This window comes from Homo sapiens, chromosome 5 (genome assembly GCF_000001405.40).
Source record: "Homo sapiens chromosome 5, GRCh38.p14 Primary Assembly".
Taxonomy (NCBI): Eukaryota; Metazoa; Chordata; class Mammalia; order Primates; family Hominidae; genus Homo; species Homo sapiens.
This window is the reverse complement of record NC_000005.10, coordinates 78,569,510-78,595,524: the sequence shown is the minus strand read 5'-3', so window position 1 is coordinate 78,595,524 and position 26,015 is coordinate 78,569,510. Positions and strand designations below refer to the sequence as shown.

At 42.5% G+C, this 26,015-nt stretch overlaps 1 protein-coding gene across 6 annotated transcripts in view, besides 1 other annotated feature; it reads left to right on the top strand.

The window, feature by feature from the left end:
- The window catches only part of LHFPL2 (LHFPL tetraspan subfamily member 2), a 163,543-nt gene that overhangs the window by 53,248 nt on the left and 84,280 nt on the right, over positions 1 to 26,015 (top strand). The gene's annotated exons all lie outside the window — the stretch shown is intronic.
- Positions 22,043 to 22,092: an enhancer, noted in NCBI's record as "active region_22713". NCBI's record gives its function as "activates an Ori minimal core promoter by ATAC-STARR-seq in GM12878 lymphoblastoid cells {active_cell/tissue: GM12878}" and the evidence as "EXISTENCE:reporter gene assay evidence [ECO:0000049][PMID:35858748]".

Sequence of the window (26,015 nt, the reverse complement as noted above, 5' to 3'; positions counted from 1 at the left end):
GGAAAGGAAGAAAGAAGATTCTCCTAGCCTGGTCCTGAACAGCTAGAAACACTTGTCTTGCCTCCCACACTGAGACATTGTTCACCTAGGTGGAAAGGGCTTATAGATTTCTGGTGGCAGAAATCTGTCCACTCACCACATGAGGGTTGCCTTTAAGCACTGACGTGGCTTAAACTGCATTTGACCTGGTGCTTCGGATTCAAGCCAGTATGACTCATTATTTCAGATGTTTGGTTTGTGCTGTTATAGTTGAAGCAATCTGTAAGGAAAATAGAAAAGCCTGTTGTAAAAATATAGTCTGTCTCCAGGAAGGAGAATCCCCACGTCCTGACTGGAGGCGGGATGTCTGCACATGGCTTGTCTAACTTGTTATTTTACCTTAGTTCCTGGTTTGAAGCAGTCCTGAAAACTGTTCATCAGTGCATGTTGAGATGGCATAGCTGATTATTTTCACATTCTTGAGTGTGAATTCGAAACACACAGGGTACAAAGTTTGCTATCTGGTCCCTGAGAGATAGCTAGGCCAGCCAGGCTGGTCCCCAGACTCTATTCTAAGAGCAAGGAAAGAACACAGTGCTAGCACCCACTCAGAAGGCTAGCCACATCAGATGGTTTCTCTCTGAAGTTGAGATGTGACATGCAATTTATATTCTTTCTTTGGTCGTTGGCGGCTATGTCCATTCTATATGTGATTTAGTAATTAGGGACTGTTTGGCTTTCTAGAATCAAACAAAGACTATTATAAAATGTCAAGTTTTTTTACCTTCAACTTTTGCACTGTGTTTTCAAGTAAAACATTCTGCTAACTTGTAAGTTTGTCCCTTTTCTCTTTCTTGTGTCTTGGTTCTTATCCCAGGGGAACACTTAGGAAAAATTATAGAATCCCTACCCAAACAGTGTAGTGAAGGAACTGTTCATGATTTGTAGGGCTCTGGCTATGAACTGACTGCTGTGTGCCAGTTTAAGCTTATAGCCACTATTACTTTATTACAGGATTTTGATTAATTTGTTAGATGGTGGCTGTGTGTCAGCTGCTTGTTTTTAGAGCTTTCACCTGGGTGAATAATAGCTTCTATCTATTATGTATGTGCTAGAAACTTGATTTAACCCTTACAGATACATTAGACAGCGTATATTACAGATACAGTGAATAGCTAATAGTTAATTAATGTGTCCAAGGCCACACAGTTAGCTGACATCCTGCCCAAGTTGAGTCGGAGGATGTCTATACAAAGCTATGCTGCCTCTCCCCCTAAAAATAGGGGAACAGAGTTAACATGCTACATAGGGCCGAATGTCTTTAAGCCTCTCTTCTTGTCTAGTGTTACAGAAATAGCCATTGTTTTAGAGAAGCAGGATTGCATAAAGGCTAAGAGCCAGGATAACTGTCTGGCCCCCATACTTAACTAGCTCTGAAACCTTGGGCAAGCTCCTTAACCTTTTTCTATCTTGGTTTCTCTGTCAGTGCATAAAATAGTACCTGGGCTGGTGAGGCTTAAATGAGTTCCTATCTACGAGTTATTGGAAGAGTGTTCATAACAAGCAGTATGCAAGAGTTTGCTATTTTTGTGTGTGTTACCTTGAAGACGAATAGGAATGAGATATCCTCTCCATCCCCCCTCCTTCTTGCCTCATCAAGCAGGGTTCCCTGGGTCAGCTTGTGGATAGGTTTCAGAGTAGGGAAGGACTGGGGACAGTCATGCCGTCTGGTTTGTGAGTGAGGCCTTCATAGACAATTGGTCCAGCCTTGCTCCTCTAGGCTGTGTATGGAGCTCTCAGGTTCTTCCACACACACTTGGTCCTTCCAGTCTCTGGTCTGGTTACTTCTCAGGTTGCCTCTTCTCCCAAAGAGTGTATCCTTGACCACTACCAGATGTACTATAAATACATCATTGCTTGTTCAAATATTGATTTAGTACGCTCACCTGTTACCCATATGTTTCAACTAGCATGGTCACAATGGTATATCATAAACCATGACCTTCTGGAGACAGGGACCAGGTCTGTGAGGACCTTATGGAGCATTTTTTAAAAGAGCTTTTTGTCATGAAAATGATACTGTTTTTGGAGTGTGAAGGGAGAGGTGCTCGGGAGAGACAGCTGGGGCCTTTAAGTCCCCAGGCTGTCTTCCTCAATCGAAAACAAGAGGTGGAAAGATGTCACCAGGGATCTCAGGACCTTGCACTCTTGACTTTAGCTCTTCTTTTCCTTAATTCCAGGAACCTAGATGTCTTACTTGAGGGCTGTGAAATCTTTCTCCTGATTCCCATGGGGATGAGAAGTGAATCAGGAGTGTCTGATGCAGATACTGTGTCTGCTCCCCGGGAAAAGCACTCACTGTGAGCAGCAGCTGGCATCTCCTTTCGCCCCCCGTGAATGTCAGCACCCGGTAGTGTCCTGGAACTGCTGTGTAGTGACTGCTTCCAACCAGACACCGGGGACAGAGATTATGCGCGAGTTGCCAAAACCAGGCATGGGAGCACCTGTTGGCTTTTGTTTTTAATTGTGATAAAATACACATAACATAAAATGTACATTTCAAGCATACAGTTCATAGTATTGAATGTTTTCACACTGTTGTGCAACCATCACCACCAGCTCCAGAACTCTTTTATCTTGCAAAACTGAAACTCTGTACCCAAGAAACAATAACTCCTCATTCTGAATAATTTTTAAAATTCAGAAAGAGTAATCTGGATGGCCAGGAGTAATTCAGCTGATTGTGTGTGTGTGTGTGTGTATCTGAATTTTTCACTAAGTTGAAGAGTAATGTGTGTGTGTGTGTGTGTGTGTGTGTATCTGAATTTTTCACTAAGTTGAAGAGTAATGTGTGTGTGTGTGTGTGTGTGTGTGTATCTGAATTTTTCACTAAGTTGAAGAGTAATGTGTGTGTGTGTGTGTGTATCTGAATTTTTCACTAAGTTGAAGAGTAATCAGGCAGAACTTAATGTAGATGAAAGTGGAAGTGAAGAAAGCAAAAGATGCTCAAGAAGGGCCAGTCTCGTACATAATTGTGAAACTTTGGTGGAGAGAGAAGGAAAAAGCACCCTGCTTCCCGCACTGGGCAGAGAATTTATGCAGTTTGCACTGAGAAGTAGAAACCACACAGGAGACAAACCCAAATTAGCTCTTACTTTTTGTTACTCTTAGAGCGTCTTCTAGAGGAAAGAATTCCCTCAGTAGAATTTGCTGTGGATCTGCAGAGGCTACCTCTGAAATCTGAGGCATCCATCCCGCACTCCTTTGAGAGAGGTGCTCTCTGTCCTTCCTGAGCGTTTGGGAGAGAATGCCTTGCCGTGTCTGAGTACTTCTGAAGTCTTCCAGAATTTCCTGGCTGGAGTTCTGTTGCCACGCATTTGACTTCTCTTTGACCCCTCATTGTAGGTCCATGTTGCTTGTTAAAGGACTATTGTACTGCCTGTTAATTGAAGACTGTGCTCTTGAGCACTGGGAAAAGACCATCAAATGAAAATGAGTTGAAGGGAACCACGTCTTTCAGACACTCTCCAGATGGAGCAGATAGTGCCCACTTCCCAGCCCTCCTGCGCCAGCTCTGTCTCTAGGAATCAGTTCTCAGACCTGTCAACCACATGTTCATGCCAGTTGTGTGTGCCCAGAAAGAACAATAAGAAAACCTGGTGATTATATGTGCTGCCCTTTATTTTTCTCCTATCCGTGTTCTACATGTGCCTTGTGTTTGCTCTTGCTGCCTCAACTAGTAAGCTTCCTTTCTGTTTCTGCAGCCCCCATGGCACAAGGTCTCCTGGCTTCTCCTCCCCTCCTTTCCCTTGTACCAGAGTTGGTTTTAACAAAGCTAAGTGTTCCACAAGAATGTCTTATTTAATAATTGTCAGAAAGAAAGTGTTCCATAAAGGCAGGAGGGTAGACGCGACAATGTCAAGGATTACAGGACACAAAGGATCACAAACATTTTCTCAGAGTTGGCCTCGGGATTTGCTTTGAATTTTATGTTGTCATCCTCTCTTCCTACCCCCACTTTCTGCCTTGCTTTTCCCAGATGATTTCATTGAAAAGCAATGGCAAATTATGACTCGTCTTTTCTCCTAGAGTCTTACCAGATAGTTTATTCTCAGAGGTAAACATTTTAGTAAGCCTTTTGTTTAGTGACTCATTAATTTGATGAGGAAAATGTCCTAATAAAGATAAAGAAACTAAACGGTTTCAAAAGCTGCAAAGGGAAAAATGTTGCAGGGCACTTGAGGTCAACTGCTTCCCCCGTTCTTTGAATTTCATTTGTTGTTTGGTCATGGGAACAAACATTGGTCATTAGGGGGTTAGGCCCTCGTCTTCATTTTTTTCTGTAAACTTACATGTACACACCAAGTCATTAGCGTTTTACTTCCTGGGAGTTTCTTTCTGTATAGATAGGGACTAAGCCTGAGGAGATTTTACAAAAGTAGGAAGTCAGATTTCCCTCTTCCACCACAAATTAGTGCATTCATTTTGTCACTAGGTTAAATATTTGGCTAACTTTTTATGGCAAAAAAATAGAAATATTTGGCTCAGAAATATTTGTCTAATTTTTACTGGTAAACAGTTTGATTTTCTCAGAAATGTCACAAACCCCCAGGTATAAAGGGTCAAAGATCCCTAAATAGAATCGGAGGCCTTTGAGAGACTAGGAAACATTCTTAGCTATAAACCAGTGGTAACAAAAAACATGATCTGCATTATCCATTTAGAGAACATCTTCTAGAGACGTATTATGACTTTACGCTGTTCTACATTATTTTGGTAAGACTAAATGTTCCAGCATGGATGATACAACTATTTCTAGGTTTCGTATGACTGTTTAGTGAAATATAAATGTATTCTGGGTAAAAGGCCCTTCGTAGCATGAGTACATTGACTTTTATTAAATCCAAGAGTAACATCATAGATGTTTCAAAAAATAAATTGTCCAACAATTTTACACTTAAATTTTAAGAGAGAATTGTATGCCTCTGTGATTCTTCTCAGGAGGAAGACCCAGTTCTAAACTGGAAAAAAAAATTGAATAACATCCCACCACACTATCTTTGGTACAAACTTTACTTATAGTATTTATTAGTTGTTAAAAAAATATGTGAAATCAGAAGGAAAAATGATTTCAATATAGTTAGAAAAAATGAAGAGGCAAGGTAAAGTGACTTTAAAGTTCTAGGTACAGTATAAAGACCTTGATTTCATTTTGCTTATGTTTGTATCTGCTCTCTTGCCAGATACTTGTCAAGGCGGAAAGATAATGACCTGAAAGTAGCTTTTCATTACAACATACCTCTAACACTGTTGCCCGTTTGTTGTTGTTGTTGTTGTTGTTGTTCCTGGCTAGGTCTTCCTGGACCAAAAGGGATGAAAAAGAGCTATCATGAGGAACGAGCTCTAGTAGAGCCATGTGTGTGAAAGTGTGGGTGTTTGTATAATGATGCAAGAGCATTTCGTAGCAGGCAAGTTTCATAATGATATAAATATATTTTAGTTATATGGATATCTAATTACATAGACTAATGAAATGCCGTTTACAAGAGGTGGTCTTACATGTGACACAGGTCATATTCTGAGATGACCACCTGCAGGGGCTAGGTTTAATTTTGGGCCCCTTTTAACTTACAATAATTGTCAAATGAACCAATCCTTGGTGCATCAGGGACTATCTGGATGGCCACCATTCATGCATTTATTCAGTTAACTGTGTTGTGTCCTGCTCTGGACTGGGCATCAGGCGAGGCCTTGAGCATATGAGGTGAACCAGACATAGTGGCCGTCCTCAAGGAGCCAACCCATGGTCTGCTGGAGGAGGCAGACATGAACCAGCACGTATGCTGCTGGGTGGTGAGTGCTGTAGAGAAGTGCACAAGGCTGGCCCTGTAGCAGACATCTCTGCTCACCTATTCATGCGGGTGCAGGTTGAGGAGGGACAGGGAAAGGCGGGCAAGAGTAGACACCATTTGAACTGTCCTCACAGCTTAAGTCCAAATCTAATGCTGTTTTTTTGCAATGACTTTGAATCACACTTCCTATATAAATTAGATGACTTCTAATTTTTTTTTTTTTTTTGAGATGGAGTTAACCCTGTTGCCAGACTGGAGTGCAGTGGTGCGATCTCGGCTCATTGCAGCCTCTGCCTCCCGGGTTCAAGCGATTCTCCTCCTTAGCCTCCCGAGTAGCTGGAATTACAGGCGCGTGCCACCATGCCCAGCTAATTTGTTTTTATTTTGAGTAGAAATGGGGTTTCACTGTGTTAGCCAGGATGGTCTCGATCTCCTGACCTCGTGATCCACCTGCCTCAGCCTCCCAAAGTGCTGGGATTACAGGCGTGAGCCACTGCGCCTGGCCAACTTCTAATTTTTTTTAGAAATGCCTTTATTATTCTCCCACTTTGTATCTCAATGGCAACTGGATGCAATGGAAAGCACAGTCTGGGTCATCCAGGCCTGACTTTGAATCCTGGCTGCCACCTGACAGCCACTTGACCTTTCTGAACTTCATGGAAAAAGGGGATAATAAAACCTGCCACACATTATGGTTGGCAGGATTAAATGAGATATGTAACAATATATATTAGTCCCTCCCCTTTTCTTAGCACATTGAAACAGAATGGCTTGAAAAAGGTAAGTTATTTTGAAAGGGGCTGATGAAACAAGAACACAGGATTCACTATGAATAAGGAGAGTAACTTACATTAGGTACCATTTATTGAGTCAGGCACTGTTTTAAGTGCTCTCTTTGCAGTTACTTATTCCTTCCTCACACTAACAGTGTCAGGGACTGTTATTTTATCTCCACTTTGCAGATGAGAAAATTGAGGCTAGAGAGGTTAAGTAACTTTTATCAACCCTGCCTGGCTGGCCTCAGAGCTCTTAAACATCAGCATGGAGCTTTTGAAGAGGATAACAGCAGTAATGATATCTTAGATTATTTACAGAGCTTCATCCTTTGAAGAACACTTCTATGTACATTGTTAACTTTGTTTCTCATTAAAAAAAATAGGAGATGGCTAGACATTAGATTAGAAAACTAAGGTACCCAGATGGAGGTGTTATTTGCCCAAGGTTACTAAATCAATATGTGGCCTTGTTGGTACAAGAACTTTTTCCACTTGACTCTTGTGAGTGTTTATAGAATGAAAGATAGAAGAGTTCAGAAATTTTTTTAAAGAAATGTTTGCTGTTAAATTTTTTAAGATATAAGCTGGGTGCTGTGTCATGCACCTGTATTCGTAATCACTCGGGAGGCTGAGGCAGGAAGATCACTTGATCCCAGGAGTTGCAGGCAGCAGTGAGCTATGATTGCACCACTGCACTCCAGCCTAGGCCACAAAGCCAGATGCTGTCTCTTAAACAAATTAAAAAACAATATGGAACAGACACAGGAAGTTAGTTTTGTTGCTTAAGGTCTCTGTCAGGCTGTTGGCCAGCTAGAATTAGAAAAGATAGATCCAGCTTCTGAGTGACTCAAGTGAAAGAACTGGAAAAGTACCAATGCATCTATTTTCTTGGCCACTTGGAACCAGGGTACATCCTCATGTCTCCTGCGATTCTGGAACCACCGGAGGGAGGGGCAGAGAACATGAACTGGCCCTGGGACCTCACTTGCCCTTAGCTCAGATTGCTTCCTCCAGAGCCATAAGGCTTCTTTCTGAAGGTGGGCCAGGGAGGCCACAGCCAGAAGGGAGATGATAAGGATTTGCACTGGCTGTGTGGTAGGGACGATAAAGAGGGCTTGGGCCACCTTCAGACCAATGCTAATCGGCGCTTTCTGTAAATTGAAGGCTTAGTGCAATTTTAAAGACAGCAAAAGACACAAGAAACCAAGTAAGATTTGACTGAAAGCCTCTTAGGATTATGTGGTGTTTTGTCCTGTAGCTGGGGATCCAGTTACAGATGCCTGTGATTATGGCCTTTGCAAACAATTGTCAGAGAAATTCATAAGATTTCCAAAGGCTGCAGAAGAGCAGATGTGGAATTAAGTTTCAAGCACAGTTATCCATAATGGCTTACATGTGGGCATAGAGTATTTAGGATTCAAGCCTAAGTCTCCCACTTTGTCCAGGAGGTGTGGGATGCAGAGTCAAAAAGCAGGGCTCAGAGATGTCAGCATTTTCTGGTGGTCTTTTTCTGCTGTATCATTTCTTCGTGGCCTGCAGACCCTTTAAAGTGGTGAAATTCTTCCATAATGGTTAGCTTGCAGTGTCTACCATTGTCATCATTTGTCCTATTTAGTAAGAAGACTCTATTCGGCATCTTTGCCAACAAGCATCAACCATGCCAGCAGACTGGAAAATGTGAGTCTTTGGGACCAACTTTAATTGGCTTTGCAACAGACATTTTAACTTAATATTGCTAGCAAAGTTCAAGGTATTTAGACTTGCCTCGTTTGGTTTCTGTTTTTCTACAATTCATATGGCAAGGACTTTAGATGACTGACTATAAGAAATACCTTCATTTTATTACTAATAATGAAGGAAGAAAATGGAAGGAATAGAAGTAGTTGTAATAATTTAACAGTTGTATGCTACTGAAGCAGCAGCTGCTGAGTTTCTCCACACCTCAAATAAAGAAGTAGCTTACTGAGTTTAAAAATCCAATAAGTATTCATTAGGCAGCAAAAAGAATTAAAAAGACTATTCCAAGTGTTGGTATATATAAAAAGAATATTCTAGTTTTTGTTGTGTGGAAATGCTCCTTTCTAGAACTTCTCAAATAATAATTGCTAGAAAATATAACTTATACTGTATTAAAAAACAAAGGAGCCAAAGTTGAATAGTGGGGCATAATTTAGGGATTGGCTTTTTTTTCCCCCCTATAAAAACCGGGAAGTTTTTGCTGTTGTTTTATTTGAATGTGGAATCTCCTACCTGAGTGGGTGGAGCAGGATTGTGTGTCAGCCTTGCGTAGAATCACTGTTAGGACACTGAAACCATGCCAAGTGGTGGTCTTCGTTACAGACTCTGTTGCCTGAGAGTGTTGAGGTTTTGTGTGCCTGAGACAAAGGGCAGAGGAAGCCGAGGATAAGAAGCCTGTGGTATACCAGCTGTGTGATGACTCAGTGCGCCTGGGCTTCACTTACTGCAGTTATGAAATGAGGACATGACTGTTCCTATATTCTACCCAGTCTTCTGGAAAGCCAGATGGGATAGCATTCCTCCACAAATGAGACAACATGAAAATCAAATGGGGCAGCATGAAAGAATGGCAACAGGCAGTACGTGTGTCCTGTTTGATCACTGTGAAATCATCTCACGTAATCCTCACAGCAGCCTGGTGAGGTGCATTTTGTTGACTCCCATGTTTCGGATGAGGAAAAAAGTTCTTTGAGGTTTGAGTAACTTGCCCGAGGGAAGAGAGAGGAAAGTGGACAGTTACCACCCATGGGAGCTGGGCTCTGCTAAGCAGTGTCTCTTGATTAGTTCATTACATTTCCAAATGGCACATGATGAAGCTGCTACTTAAACCCAAGAATTTGAACTTCAAGGTTGGTGCTGTTCCTCATCCTCAAGCCCTTTAGAGACGTGAACCATGTATTTAAAAAATGACCTTATTACTCCTTCCACATTAAGCTCTGATGTTCCATGACCTTTTAGGCCACTGGGAGGTAGTACGTGAACGGCTTGTGTTGCTTGTTAGTGGCAGGACCTCGGGCAGGCTCCTTTATGCATCCCATCCCCAACCCCAACCCCAACCCAGTCTCCCCATCTGTAAAATGAGGTTAATAGCCTATCTCATAAAATTGTTGTGAGTTTTTCATGAAGACAAATGCTATTAAGTGCCTAGCACAGTGCCCGGCATATAGCCAGGGCTCATTCAATACGTGATGATGGTGATGATGATGATGAGGAGGAGGAGGAGGTGGAGGTTGTTTTAGTGCTCTCAACTAAAACCTTGAGAGCGGGAGGAGGAGCCAAGATGGCTGAATAGGAACAACTCCAGTATGCAGCTCCCAGCATGAGCGACGCAGAAGACGGGTGATTTCTGCATTTCCATCTGAGGTACCGGGTTCATCTCACTAGGGAGTGCCAGACAGTGGGCGCAGGTCAGTGGGTGCACACACTGTGCGTGAGCCGAAGCAGGGCGAGGCATTGCCTCACTCGGGAAGCTCAAGGAGTCAGGGAGTTCCCTTTCCTAGTCAAAGAAAGGGGTGACAGACGGCACCTGGAAAATCGGGTCACTCCCACCTGAATACTGCGCTTTTCCAACGGGCTTAAAAAACAGCGCACCAGGCCGGGCGCGGTGGCTCACGCCTGTAATCCCAGCACTTTGGGAGGCCGAGGCGGGCGGATCACGAGGTCAGGATATCGAGACCATCCCGGCTAAAAACGGTGAAACCCCGTCTCTACTAAAAATACAAAAAATTAGCCGGGCGTAGTGGCGGGCACCTGTAGTCCCAGCTACTTGGGAGGCTGAGGCAGGAGAATGGCGTGAACCCGGGAGGTGGAGCTTGCAATGAGCCGAGATCCCGCCACTGCACTCCAGCCTGGGCGACAGAGCGAGACTCCGTCTCAAAAAAAAAAAAAAAAAAAAAAAAAAAAACACAGCGCACCAGGAGATTATATCCCGCACCTGGCTCAGAGGTTCCTACGCCCACGGAGTCTCGTTGATTGCTAGCACAGCAGTCAGAGATCAAACTGCAAGGCGGCAGCGAGGCTGGGGGAGGGGTGCCCGCCATTGCCCAGGCTTGCTTAGGTAAACAGAGCAGCCAGGAAGCTCCAACAGGGTGGAGCCCACCACAGCTCAAGGAGGCCTGCCTGTCTTTATAGGCTCCACCTCTGGGGGCAGGGCACAGACAAACAAAAAGACAGCAATAACCTCTGCAGACTTAAATGTCCCTGTCTGACAGCTTTGAAGAGAGCAGTGGTTTTCCCAGCATGCAGCTGGAGATCTGAGAACGGGCAGACTGCCTCCTCAAGTGGGTCCCTGACCCCTGACCCCCGAGCATCCTAACTGGGAGGCACCCCCCCAGCAGGGGCAGACTGACACCTCACACGGCCCGGTACTCCAACAGACCTGCAGCTGAGGGTCCTGTCTGTTAGAAGGAAAACTCACAAACAGAAAGGACATCCACACCAAAAACCCATCTGTACATCACCATCATCAAAGACCAAAAGTAGATAAAACCACAAAGATGGGGAAAAAACAGAGCAGAAAAACTGGAAACTCTAAAAAGCAGGGCGCCTCTCCTCCTCCAAAGGAATGCAGTTCCTCACCAGCAACGGAACAAAGCTGGATGGAGAATGACTTTGACGAGCTGAGAGAAGAAGGCTTCAGATGATCAAATTACTCCGAGCTACGGGAGGACATTCAAACCAAAGGCAAAGAAGTTGAAAACTTTGAAAAAAATTTAGAAGAATGTATAACTAGAATAACCAATACAGAGAAGTGCTTAAAGGAGCTGATGGAGCTGAAAACCAAGGCTCGAGAACTACGTGAAGAATGCAGAAGCCTCAGGAGCCGATGCGATCAACTGGAAGAAAGGGTATCAGCGATGGAAGATGAAATAAATGAAATGAAGTGAGAAGGGAAGTTTAGAGAAAAAAGAATAAAAAGAAATGAACAAAGCCTCCAATAAATATGGGACTATGTGAAAAGACCAAATCTACGTCTGATTGGTGTACCTGAAAGTGATGGGGAGAATGGAACCAAGTTGGAAAACACTCTGCAGGATATTATCCAGGAGAACTTCCCCAATCTAGCAAGGCAGGCCAACATTCAGATTCAGGAAATACAGAGAACGCCACAAAGATACTCCTCGAGAAGAGCAACTCCAAGACACATAATTGTCAGATTCACCAAAGTTGAAATGAAGGAAAAAATGTTAAGGGCAGCCAGAGAGAAAGGTTGGGTTACCCTCAAAGGGAAGCCCATCAGACTAACAGCAGATCTCTTGGCAGAAACCCTACAAGCCAGAAGAGAGTGGGGGCCAATATTCAACATTCTTAAAGAAAAGAATTTTCAACCCAGAATTTCATATCCAGCCAAATTAAGCTTCATAAGTGAAGGAGAAATAAAATACTTTACAGACAAGCAAATGCTGAGAGATTTTGTCACCACCAGGCCTGCCCTAAAAGAGCTCCTGAAGGAAGCGCTAAACATGGAAAGGAACAACCAGTACCAGCCGCTGCAAAATCATGCCAAAATGTAAAGACCATCGAGACTAGGAAGAAACTGCATCAACTAACGAGCAAAATCACCAGCTAGCATCTTAATGACAGGATCAAATTCACACATAACAATATTAACTTTAAATGTAAATGGACTAAATGCTCCAATTAAAAGACACAGACTGGCAAATTGGATAAAGAGTCAAGACCCATCAGTGTGCTGTATTCAGGAAACCCATCTCATGTGCAGAGACACACATAGGCTCAAAATAAAAGGATGGAGGAAGATCTACCAAGCAAATGGAAAACAAAAAAAGGCAGGGGTTGCAATCCTAGTCTCTGATAAAACAGACTTTAAAGCAACAAAGATCAAAAGAGACAAGGCCATTACATAATGCTAAAGGGATAAATTCAACAAGAAGAGCTAACTGTCCTAAATATATATGCACCCAATACAGGAGCACCCAGATTCATAAAGCAAGTCCTGAGTGACCTACAAAGACACTTAGACTCCCACACATTAATAATGGGAGACTTCAACAGCCCACTGTCAACATTGGACAGATCAACGAGACAGAAAGTCAACAAGGATACCCAGGAATTGAACTCAGCTCTGCACCAAGCAGACATAATAGACATCTACAGAGCTCTACACCCCAAATCAACAGAATATACATTTTTTTCAGCACCACACCATACCTATTCCAAAATTGACCACATACTTGGAAGTAAAGCTCTCCTCAGCAACTGTAAAAGAACAGGAATTATAACAAACTGTCTCTCAGACCACAGTGCAATCAAACTAGAACTCAGGATTAAGAATCTCACTCAAAACCGCTCAACTACATGGAAACTGAACAACCTGCTCCTGAATGACTACTGGGTACATAACGAAATGAAGGCACAAATAAAGATGTTCTTTGAAACCAACGAGAACAAAGACACAACATACCAGAATCTCTGGGACGCATTCAAAGCAGTGTGTAGAGGGAAATTTATAGCACTAAATGCCCACAAGAGAAAGCAGGAAAGATCCAAAATTGACACCCTAACATCACAATTAAAAGAACTAGAAAAGCAAGAGCAAACACATTCAAAAGCTAGCAGAAGGCAAGAAATAACTAAAATCAGAGCAGAACTGAAGGAAATAGAGACACAAAAAAACCTTCAAAAAATTAATGAATCCAGGAGCTGGTTTTTTGAAAGGATCAACAAAATTGATAAACTGCTAGCAAGACTAATAAAAAAAGAGAGAAGAATCAAATAGATGCAATAAAAAATGATAAAGGGGTATCACCACTGATCCCACAGAAATACAAACTACCATCAGAGAATACTACAAACATCTCTACGCAAATAAACCAGAAAATCTAGAAGTAATGGATAAATTCCTTGACACATACACTCTCCCAAGACTAAACCATGAAGAAGTTGAATCTCTGAATAGACCAATAACAGGATCTGAAATTGTGGCAATAATCAATAGCTTACCAACCAAAAATAGTACAGGACCAGATGGATTCACAGCCGAATTCTACCAGAGGTACAAGGAGGAACTGGTACCACTCCTTCTGAAACTATTCCAATCAATAGAAAAACAGGGAATCCTCCCTAACTCATTTTATGAGGCCAGCATCATCCTGATACCAAAGCCGGGTAGAGGCACAACCAAAAAAGAGAATTTTAGACCAATATCCTTGATGAACATTGATGCAAAAATCCTCAATAAAATACTGGGAAACCGAATCCAACAGCACATCAAAAAGCTTATCCACCATGATCAAGTGGGCTTCATCCCTGGGATGCAAGGCTGGTTCAATATACGCAAATCAATAAATGTAATCCAGCATATAAACAGAACCAAAGACAAAAACCACATGATTATCTCAGTAGATGCAGAAAAGGCCTTTGACAAAATTCAACAACTTCATGCTAAAAACTCTCAATAAATTAGGTATTGATGGGACGTATCTCAAAATAATAAGAGCTATCTATGACAAACCCACAGCCAATATCATACTGAATGTGTAAGAACTGGAAGCATTCCCTTTGAAAACTGGCACAAGACAGGGATGCCCTCTCTCACCACTCCTATTCAATATAGTGTTGGAAGTTCTGGCCAGGGCAATTAGGCAGGGGAAGGAAATAAAGGGTATTCAATTAGGAAAAGAGGAAGTCAAATTGTCCCTGTTTGCAGATGACATGATTGTATATCTAGAAAACCCCATCGTCAATCAATGTACAAAAATCACAAGCATTCTTATACACCAACAACAGACAAACAGAGAGCCAAATCATGAGTGAACTCCCATTCACAATTGCTTCAAAGAGAATAAAATACCTAGGAATCCAACTTAAAAGGGATGGGAAGGACCTCTTCAAGGAGAACTACAAACCACTGCTCAAGGAAATAAAAGAGGATACAAACAAATGGAAGAACATTCTATGCTCACGGGTAGGAAGAATCAATATCGTGAAAATGGCCATACTGCCCAAGGTAATTTGTAGATTCAATGCCATCCCCATCAAGCTACCAATGACTTTCTTCACAGAATTGGAAAAAACTACTTTAAAGTTCATATGGAACCAAAAAAGAGCCCGCATCGCTAAGTCAATCCTAAGCCAAAAGAACAAAGCTGGAGGCATCACACTACCTGACTTCAAACTATACTACAAGGCTACAGTAACCAAAACAGCATGGTACTGGTACCAAAACAGAGATAATAGACCGATGGAACAGAACAGAGCCCTCAGAAAGAACGCCGCATATCTCCAACTATCTGATCTTTGACAAACCTGAGAAAAACAAGCAATGGGGAAAGGATTCCCTATTTAATAAATGGTGCTGGGAAAACTGGCTAGCCATATGTAGAAAGCTGAAACTGGATCCCTTCCTTACACCTTATACAAAAATCAATTCAAGATGAATTAAAGACTTAAACGTTAGACCTAAAACCGTAAAAACCCTAGAAGAAAACCTAGGCATTACCATTCAGGACATAGGCATGGGCAAGGACTTCATGTCTAAAACACCAAAAGCAATGGCAACAAAAGCCAGAATTGACAAATGGGATCTAATTAAACTAAAGAGCTTCTGCACGGCAAAAGAAATTACCATCAGTGTGAACAGGCAACCTACAAAATGGGAGAAAATTTTTGCAACCTACTCATCTGACAAAGGGCTAATATCCAAAATCTACAATGAACTCAAATTTACAAGAAAAAAACAAACAACCCCATCAAAAAGTGGGTGAAGGACATGAACAGACACTTCTCAAAAGAAGACATTTATGCAGCCAAAAAACACATGAAAAAATGCTCACCATCACTGGCCATCAGAGAAATGCAAATCAAAACCACAATGAGATACCATCTCATACCAGTTAGAATGGCAGTCATTAAAAAGTTAGGAAACAACAGGTGCTGGAGAGGATGTGGAGAAATAGGAACACTTTTACACTGTTGGTGGGACTGTAAACTAGTTCAAACATTGTGGAAGTCAGTGTGGCGATTCCTCAAGGATCTAGAACTAGACTAGAAACACCATTTGACCCAGCCATCCCATTACTGGGTATATACCCAAAAGACTATAAATCATGCTGCTATAAAGACACATGCACACGTATGTTTATTGCGGCATTATTCACAATAGCAAAGACTTGGAACCAACCCAAATGTCCAACAATGATAAGACTGGATTAAGAAAATGTGGCACATATACACCATGGAATACTATGCAGCCATAAAAAATGATGAGTTCATGTCCTTTGTAGGGACATGGATGAAATTGGAAATCATCATTCTCAGTAAACTATCGCAAGAACAAAAAACCAAACACCGCATATTCTCACTCATAGGTGGGAATTGAACAATGAGAACACATGGACACAGGAAGGGGAACATCACACTCTGGGGCCTGTTGTGGGGTCGGGGAAGGGGGGAGGGTTAGCACTGGGAGATGTACCTAATGCTAGATGACGAGTTAGTGGGTGCAGCGCACCAGCATGGCACATGTATACATATGTAACTAACCTGCACATTGTGCACATGTACCCTAAAACTTAAAGTATAATAATAATAAATAAATGAAAAACAACAACAACAACAAAAAAAAAACCTTGCGAGCACTAAGAATCTTAGCAGTAACAGAAAATCCTCCTCCTCCTCCACCCTCTCCTGCTCCCCCTCCCTCTCCACTCCCAGTATAGAGAAATGGCCAGACTTTAACAATAGCAAAATCACTAAACTTGGGTCACCTTATTGTAGGTCATGTGAGGGTGTTTTGCTTTGCTTAAGGACAATTTTCATCTGTTTCTTTTGCAGAGTCAGATTCTAAAAGGTGGAGGAAATAACCTACCCCTTGATACTGGGTTCAAGTTAATAATCCCTGTTAGACGGAATGTACCTCCCCAGAAGGGCCTACCTCAACCACAGCTCTTGGTGAATAGATGCTCTCTCTGCCACTGGATTGTAACTTCTAGGAGCAGGGAGCAAGACTTGGTTGGCGTCTCTGAGCCCCCACATTGCTCACCTACGTTGCTGATAGATCACGTGGCCATTGTACTTTGTTACAAGACAGGTAGCTGGGAACAAACATTCTACTGAGAACCTAGAGTTAGAGATGGAGTAGAGTGGAATGTTGTCAAAAACCTTGTACATAGATGATTCCTGGAAGACATTTCCCAGAGAAAACTGACAGCAAAGTCAAGTCATTCATTTCACCCATTGATTTCTTGGTAAAGTACATGTCTCTAGGCAGAGGCTCTCTTGAGATAAGAAGCCCTTGAAATACATATGACCTGTCTCTGTGTGTGTGTGTGTGTGTGTGTGTGTGTGTGTGTGCACATATGCAAGAAAAACAGCCTAAGCCCTTCCTAAACAGGGGTAAATGTGGCTATTTGAAATGGAATTGCCAAAACCTCTGTACCAGAACCTTCCGTCTTGCAAGAGAAGGAAATTAACTAAACCCTGATTGTAGTTTCCCAATTCCAAAACTCCCCAAAACCCCCCTGTGAGAGAGAGCCTGGACCCAGCCTCATTTAGATCCTTTAACTGGCAAAAAGTGGTTCTCACTCCTCCTCTTCCCAGCCCCTGAGGTTATATTTCTTTCAGCTCCCTCATTGCTTTTGAAAATCCTGTAATACTCCTTTTATTCTTCCTGTGATGAGCATCTTGTTTTTGTCAAAAAGATAATGTGCTGGCATTTCCTATCTTTACATTGATCCTCTAAGCAAGTGAAGTACAGAGGACCATGCCAGAAGAGGGAGCATAATTAATACCTTTGTGATTCTGTCCAAGTTCCTAAGAAATGATTAGAACTCAGTTATCCTGGTGTTTGCCAGTTGAGATCAAGCCAACATCTGTACTTGTCTTTCTTTCCCAGAGGGCATGACAAGGAAAGAGAAAGAGAAGAGTTCAAAGAATTAAAAACAGAGTTTTCATTAGGATAACATTTGGGGTCAGGTAAACATCTCTTTCGAGTTTCATTGAAAAATTCCAGGAGGCCAAGGGCAAAAATCTCTGGAAGACTTGTTTCAAGGAGTGTAGCTCAGTGGAAAGTTCACTTTTAAAAAAATTTAAGAAAACTGAATATGATATTGCTTAGGGGAGTCTAAAAAAAAAAAAGCTCAAAGGACATCAGAAAAACAAAATTGTCTTTTTCTCGTTTAGAAAGTGTGGAAGGCCTGGGAAAGATTTTCTCCAGTGACTAGGAAATATTTCTTCATTGTATGTAAGCTACTCTCCTTTTAGGAGCTGTGGAGTCATTTCTTAAGGCTGTGAGCTTGAGTCTTGAATGGACTCAGCTTGGGGAGAGTGCAGTATGACTGTCCGTAGTGAGCCAGGCAAATGGACCCGTGTACGGCAGATAGCCTAGTTCTTGGTCGTTCACTTTTGTGTTGTTCCAGTTGCCAGTTTCAGCGTTTAAATGGCACCTTTTATGTGAGTTGAGCTCTTATTTAACTTAAAAAAAATGTTGAGAGAAACAGCCCCCTTTGACTCTGAAGGAAATAAAATCACAAGTCAAGATACCAATGGGAGATTGTGGAATTTCTGTCCTGGAGATCCTCAGAAGTAGAACATAAAAATTAGGTCACTTAAGTAAGTCTGCTTGGAGGCTGACCAAGATGGCCTTTTGCAGTGTTCCAAGTTTATGAAACAACTCATGTTGATATTCATATACAGTTAGGGCATCAGGACGATCAGTCCTTTGTTACCTTATCCTGTGACTTCTTAAAATGTTTTGACTTCCCTGTGCCTGGAAGGCCTGCGTCTCTCATTTGCACTGTATGATATTGTTGCTTGTGGAAATTTAGGAATGAGTGGGAGGGAGGAAGTAAGAGGGGTTATCCTTTTAGAAAACATTTGATCTTTTCAGAGGATGGCACTGAGAGGACACTTGGCATAGACAGAGCTGACTGGACTGAACCTATTAACAAAATCTCTAAAGAACTGCACTTAGCTTGTGGGTACTTCCTGTAAAGAACTATTGCATTGCCAATGATCAAGTTTGCTGGCTTTAAATGATCTATAAAATGCTAAAAGATTGCTTGGTTCAATGTCACTGGAAGCTATTTCACTTTAAAAAGTTAAGAAGACTGTTGGTATCTATATAACAAATCTGCCTATGTACCCCTGAACCTAAAGTAAAAGTTAAGAAACAAACAAACAAAAAAAGATTGTCAGAAGATTTTAAATTCATCTGGCTCCAGTGGGAGCCTAGAATGACAAAGAATTGAAAAGTCAAAGAAAAGGTTATTAGTGGAATGTCAAACCACAGTGAACATAGTTCTTGGTGACTTGTTGAATTTCCAGTGTCCCTGGGGCCTTCTCTTCTCCTGCAAATTGTATCCAGTTCAGACGCCTACAGCATAGTGGCAAACCAGTTTCCCTCCCTCCACTGCCCTTAAAGAGACACAGCTCATGGTTCATGAGCACCTGTGGGGAGGACTTGTTTTTTTAGGAATGGGAGAAATTTAAGGCTGATAAAGGTGCTCAGCGGACAGGAGAGCAAAAGGTAAAATTGGGAGACTTACCTTTACGTATTTATTTACTTTTTCGTGGGTAATTTATGAAGACTCTAATTTCTTTCATTCATTCTTTTTTGAGTAAAAATTTATCTTTTTTTTTTTTTTGAGATGGAGTCTCGCTCTGTTGCCCAGGCTGGAGTGCAGTGGCGCGATCTCGGCTCACTGCAAGCTCCGCCTCCCGGGCTCACGCCATTCTCCTGCCTCAGCCTCCGGAGTAGCTGGGACTACAGGCACCCACCACCACGCCCGGAGAATTTTTTGTTTTTTTAGTGGAGACGGGGTTTCACCGTGTTAGCCAGGATGGTCTCGATATCCTGACCTCGTGATCCACCCGCCTCGGCCTCCCAAAGTGCTGGGATTACAGGCGTGAGCCACTGCGCCCGGCCAGATTTATCTTACATATTTTGGCTGGGCACAGTGGCTCATCCCTGTAAGATTGCACCAGGCCACTGCGCTCCAGCATAGGTGACAGAGCAAGACCCTGTCTCCAAAAAGAAAGTTTTACAAATTTAAATTAGAAGATTAAATGACCTCTGCGACTCTACTTCTTGAAATTGTCCAGTCTGTGCAGGATGAAGACTTTTCCAGAGACCTAGAAACTAAATTACACTATCTTCCCTTTGTTTTTCTTCTCTTTGTCTTTTGTAGTGTGTGTGTTATTTTCCTGGTCAGGGAAAAATAAAGGAGAGAACTCTTAAGCTATAACATTTTGTTTTAGTGCTGTTTTCTTTGCTTGTTCCATTTTAAAAAGACACATTCATTAAAATAAAACCTATGTTTTTAGTTATTTCTCTCTTTTGACATTTTGTGGAGTTAGTTTTGCCATGTGGGTTTTTCTTTTTTTCTTTTTTTGAGATGGAGTCTCGCTCTGTCACCAGGCTGGAGTGCAGTGGCGCAATCTTGGCTCACTGCAACCTCCGCCTCCCAGGTTCAAGTGATTCTCCTGCCTCAGCCTCCCGAGTAGCTGGGACTACAGGTGCGTGCCACCACGCCCGGCTAATTTTTTTGTATTTTTAGTAGAGACGGGGTTTCACCATATTAGCCAGGATGGTCTCGATCTCCTGACCTTGTGATCCACGCACCTCGGCCTCCCAAAGTGCTGGGATTACATGGGAGGGCCACTGTGCCTGGCCCTCCATGTGGTGGTTTTCAAGGTGTTTGTTTATTTACAGCAAAACCCTTTCTTTCAAATGAAATCTTGTGTTTAACCCTAATATAGGAAACAGATCAAGAGCTGCTGCCCTGTGGGGGTTGCCTGCAGCCTCCTTCTTGCCACGTGGTCCCTGAGGCACAGCTGAGCAGCCTGTTTTATAATCCACTGGCAAGAACACAGGATTAGGAAGCAGTGTCTGTTTAGCGGTCCCTAGCTCTGCCACCAAGACCTTTGGTCACTTTACGTCTCTCGATTCTTTTATGAAATGATGACTTTGGGCCAGAGTCTCTCTGAGGTCCTTCCTGCTCTGACAGCCAGCAGTTCTGAGTCACACAGAGAGACTGAGGTGGTGAGGTGTTTGGTGACGCTCAGCAAGAACAGGTCTGGAGAGAGGAAGAATCACCCTGCTTTAGCATGAATAGCCTTCACTTCATGTAAGCGAAAGCTCAGGAACCAAAACATGCATCAGCAGAATTGCCTCTGAGGACAGTGTTTTCTGAAGGTTTCAGCGAGCCATCTGCAACCTGTTAGCACAGAAAAATCTTGTGGGGAAAAGGACTTCAATCAATTGTAGGTGGTTGTTTACCACTGATTGTTGAATTTGCTGATCAGCAGTGGTTTGGTTAAAACCGTTTTCCCTTACTAGACAAAATTATGTCCCATCACTTTTTTGTTGTTCTTAGTTGGGAAATGCATCTGAGACATAGTTCAAGAATCTGCAGCCAATTAACACATTTGGTTAGAGAATGGAGATGGTGAGGCCAGGGTCAGGGTTCAGTTGGTATGTGGGCCAGTTAGCTGAGCTGGGCCCTCTGGCCAGACTGTACTTTTAACCCCAACCAACTGGCTCTCACATGTGTGCCATGGGTCACAGGGAAGGGTTAGAGGGCATGGAAGGATATCCCAGCTCAGCCTCTCCTCCTGGGGCCAAGCTGGGCCTTTGCCCTGCTGCTGGAGGGCTGGGCCTGGTGTACAGAGGGCACCCTCCCCACGTCTTTAACAGCTAAAGGGAAATGTGAAATACTCCCCACGGACCAGTATCTTCACGCCCACTGTTAGTGGGCCTCTTCAGTCTGAAGACAAAACTTCCTCCTCTAAGTTAGAACAGACATTATGTAAATAATGCTTCATAGTTCTCATCGTGAGCGTACTCTCCTCCTCTTTGGGAATTGGGAGAAGAGCTGGCATTAAAAGAGAAATTTTCTTCTGTTTTGGGTATTTGCTTCTATTGGATTTAGTTACAATTTGTTTCCTATAAAATATAGGAAACACAAGTAGTTTGAAGTAAACGATCTTAGTTAGGCACTTTTGATGAGACAAGTGTTCATTCCTATTATACAAAATTCAAACATTACAGAATTCTAAAACTTACACACTTCTTAATCTATGCACAAACCTACCCCCATGGTAGCCATCAAGATAATCTTGAATCAATTTAAAAATGGACATAAAAATTAGAATTTTAAAACTTGTGATTTATTTTTCCCCCAGAATTATTTGGGTCCAGGGCAATGGCTTCCAAAGTGTTTGTTTCAACAGTGAGTGCTTTCTTCAAAATTTTAAGTCAAATTCTAACATGGGGGGAAAAAAGATGAAAGCAGAGACAGGCTGTGCAGGAGCTCTGCTCACTTCCTCCTCTGCCTAACCAGTGAAACTTACAGGTCCCTCTGTTGAGAGACCCCCTCTGCAGAGATACCTCCAACATGCCCTTCCCTGCTGTTTCAGCGGTTGAGTGTGTTGGCCTCAACTTCCCTGACCAACTCTTCTAAGTGGGGCAGCTGTAGTGACGCTTGTTTCCCTGCCATTCACTTGGGGTGGTTATTTTTAGCTAAGCTATAGTTAGTTGCAAACTTAAAAGCTAACCACCTAAGCCAACCAGTATTTTTTCCTATCTTAAAATTGGACCTTTACATTTAAGTCATCCTTTCAGTTTAGCTCAAATGCCACATTTGTCACTACTTTTTAGTCTGTGCCAAGAAGTTTTTCTCCTCATGGATTGGGTTTAAGGCTGTCACGATAGTGCTTGCACCCACCATGGTAGACAATTCTGTTCATGGATCTTGTAGAAATGAGTTTTTTCCTTGTACTCCCCGTTCCAGGAAATTGAGTTCCTGCCTGTTTTCTCTTCCCCACTAGATAATGAGAAGCAATGCAGTGTTATTTCACACTGTAGGTCTTGGGTGCCCAAGCCTTTTTGGGACCCAAGCTGCACAGCAGGACCAGGCGAGCGAGCATTACGGCCTGAGCTCCACCTTCTGTCAGCTCAGCAGCAGCATTAGATTCTCATAGGAGCACAAACCCTATTGTGAACCGTGCGTGCGAGGAATCTAAGTTGTATGCTCCTTATGAGAATCTAATGCCTGATGATCTAAGGTGGAACAGTTTCATCCCGAAACCATCTCTCCCTTACCCATTGCCCACAGAAAAATTGTATTCCAGGAAACAGGTCCCTGGTGGCAAAAAGGTTGGGGACTGCTGCTGTAGATAATGCAGGATTATCTATTAAACTCCGTATCTGTTAAATAGTATATCTGTTAAACTCTGAACAACTCTTGAGTAACTCCTAGCCCTAAAAAAGAAAAACACAGCCTGGTGTAAATGTTCAATTTTTAGGTCCATGCTGTACCCAAATACTTGTCATTTGGCACTGAAAGTGGTCTTTCACAGTCTTACAATGTCCTCATATATTTAGTTAGTATATATATATGTGTGTGTATATATATATATGTGTGTGTATATATATATATACACACATATATATACACATATATATACACATGTATATACACATACATATATATACACATACATACATATATATATATGTATATAAAATGTACTTTGTAGAATTATTTGGCTAAGCTTTGAAGAGATAGCTCAGATATTTCACATGCCCTAACTCTTTTAATACATACATACCTCTGAGGTAGATGCTATTTTTTCTTTTTACTGTATAGTAGCCAGCTCTTTCCTTAATTACTTCACATGCTTTTCTGGGGGTAATCTCACTCTTTCATATGACTTCAGTCATAGGAAACTTCATAGGTGACTTCAGTCACCTCCTATATGTTTGCAGTTTTCCAAACTATATTGCCTGTGCTACTGGAATCCCCCCTACCTGGTTGCCCAGCTAGGTACTTCAAACCTTAAAAGCTTCAACAGAGCAAAATGTCCTCCCTATCTCGTCTGATCTCCTTTCCCCCCAGCATTTGGTCAAGACATTATCATCTGCCCACGCGTGTATTCATCAACTGATATTTACTGAGAGAGTGCGTTATTTCTCAGGCACTATTACTGGTGTTAGGGATCTACATATCACAGACCAAAACTGATTAAAAGCCTTGTCTGCAGGGAGCTTACATCCTAGTGGATAGACAACTAACTTAAAAATTCAGATCTATTTCTGTACTTACCTAGCTAGACATTTCTGTCTCTGTATATCCACCTTATCCATCCATATGATGGGCTCCAGGCAGTGGTGAGAGCTGTGGACAGGCAGTGCTGGAGGCACAGAGGGGTGTGTTGCACTTTTAGCAAGGGTGGTCAGGGAAGGAGATAACATTTGCATGGAGATTTGAATGAAGCAAGGGATGAGTATGAATATCTGTGATTTGGGGGGGCCTGCCTCACCCTCTGTTAGTCCTTCCCAGTCAAGGACTGTTTTGGTCATTTTTGGATGTCACCCCAAGCCACAGTTTGTAAATGTGAGCCATGAGATGAGTGGATGGACTTGAAACAGGGAGTTAGACAAGCGAATAATTATTAGTATGGTGGATGTGACCCCTACCACTCTCTGAGCTGCGTGAGCTCAGAGAAGGGTGGCACGGAGAGGGCAGAGGCGAGGGTGGGTTCAGAGAAGGCTGCGTGGAAGATGACACTGAAGTTGGGTCTTGAGCAGAGTTTCATGCATGGAGTTGGGAAGGATATAGAGGCAAAATAGTTACAGAGGCAGATGCCCTGGGCCTCAAATCTGAGGTTTGCAGAATGCAGCATCGAGTTCAGGGTCCACACAGGCCAAAAAAAGGAGAGGAGCACAGCACCATGACCTGTGATGGGCAGTGTGCAGCAAACTCCAGGACAGATGAGCTGGGGGTGGGTGTGTTTTAAGAGGACAATTTCCATTTACCTGATTTTGAGTGCTGCCTTTGGAAAAGGAAAGATGCGAGAAGGAACCGGAGGCTTTTCCACCTTCTCTTTCCAGATGCCTCCATGAGAGTGTTCCTTCCCTACATCTCCCTTACTCTGTGTCTTGTCTTCTAGTTTTAATCTTGGCATCTGCTTTTCAGAAACATTGGTCTGTTATTACTTAAAGCTTATGCCTAGATTTGGAATGCAGACCACTAAGAACTGTCAGGCACAGAAAGCGCTTGTCAGCACTTACAGCCCAAGTTATTCACTGCGGCCACCTGTTTGCCTGGCCTATTCCCCAAGTGTGCTGCACTCACCTGTCTGCCTGTAATGCCCTGTGTCTGTGGATCTTAAATAACCTATTCTGGAACAAGTAGGATATTTGATGAGGTTTGCACATTGCTCGTGCTCAACACTATTCACAGTAGTTTCTGTCTTGCAAAATGATCATACGTATATATATATATACGTATATATATATATACTATATATATACGTATATATATATTCAAGGTTAAAAGCAAGACAGTTGAGTAATTGTCATCTGGAGGAGGGTTTCTCAGAATTGCCTATACACATTTGCTCCCCTGTCACTCTCCTTCATCACTCATAGTCTAGGGCTACCCTACAATAGAAGGAGTTCACAGAGGTGGGTCCAGACACTGGTGTTTTGGAAACACACCCACTGGAGGATCCCCCCTGCCTTGGACAGCATCACTGCTACTCTGTGCTCCATTGCTGCCTGCGATTCCTCCTTGCCTCCTGCGCTTTCTTCTCATGCCGGAATTCCTGCTGTCATGTTTGCCTGATGATTTTCTCCACTCTCGTTAACCCAGTATTTCTTTCTTCTACATAGCCTGACTTTTCTAACTACTATCTGTAGGGAATGTTCATAGGGCAATGATCCTTTTGTTTATTCAGTAAACATTTATGAATTGTCTACTCTATGTCATGCCCTATGTTGAGTGCAAGAGATATTGAGAGGAGTAAGCTAGAATTAGTTTTGTTCTCAAGGACCTTGTTGTCCCATAGATTTATAACTAAATATTGGGGAAGAGGTAAGAATTATGTGAATGAACATGGTCCCAGCAGTGTGGGAATAACAATAGCAGTGTTTTGATATGCACACCTGGCATGTTAAAAAGCAGTATAATTGAATATGACTTGTGGCTGGCACGTTATAGGCTATTCTGTTGTACCTAGATATTTAAAAACATACTCTCTAACAGCTTTACGTTGATGGGATAATGTTTGAATCAAGGAGTTTCTCCTTCCTTAAGAGAAGGAATTTTTCCTGATTAGCAACGTTTGGCTTAGAGTCCGCGAGGTCTTTGGAAACTTGAACCTCAGTCTTTCACCACTGTGGTTGAGTGGCAGGGCCGGCGTTGTTGGGGTTCAGGTTCCCAGCGTCTCACATGCGTTTAACACAGTCCAGCCTTTGGCAAGCTGCCACTTTCTGTGCTTGGTAGACGGTTCATGAAACTCGACACTCTCATGTCTTTCCTTGAAAATCTTGCAAGGTTCAGCAATCCTTCAATGGCTGACCCAGTTCTGTTAAACTCCTGTTGTCAGACACAATTGTGAGGTAGTCCTGGACCTGTTGTCAGAG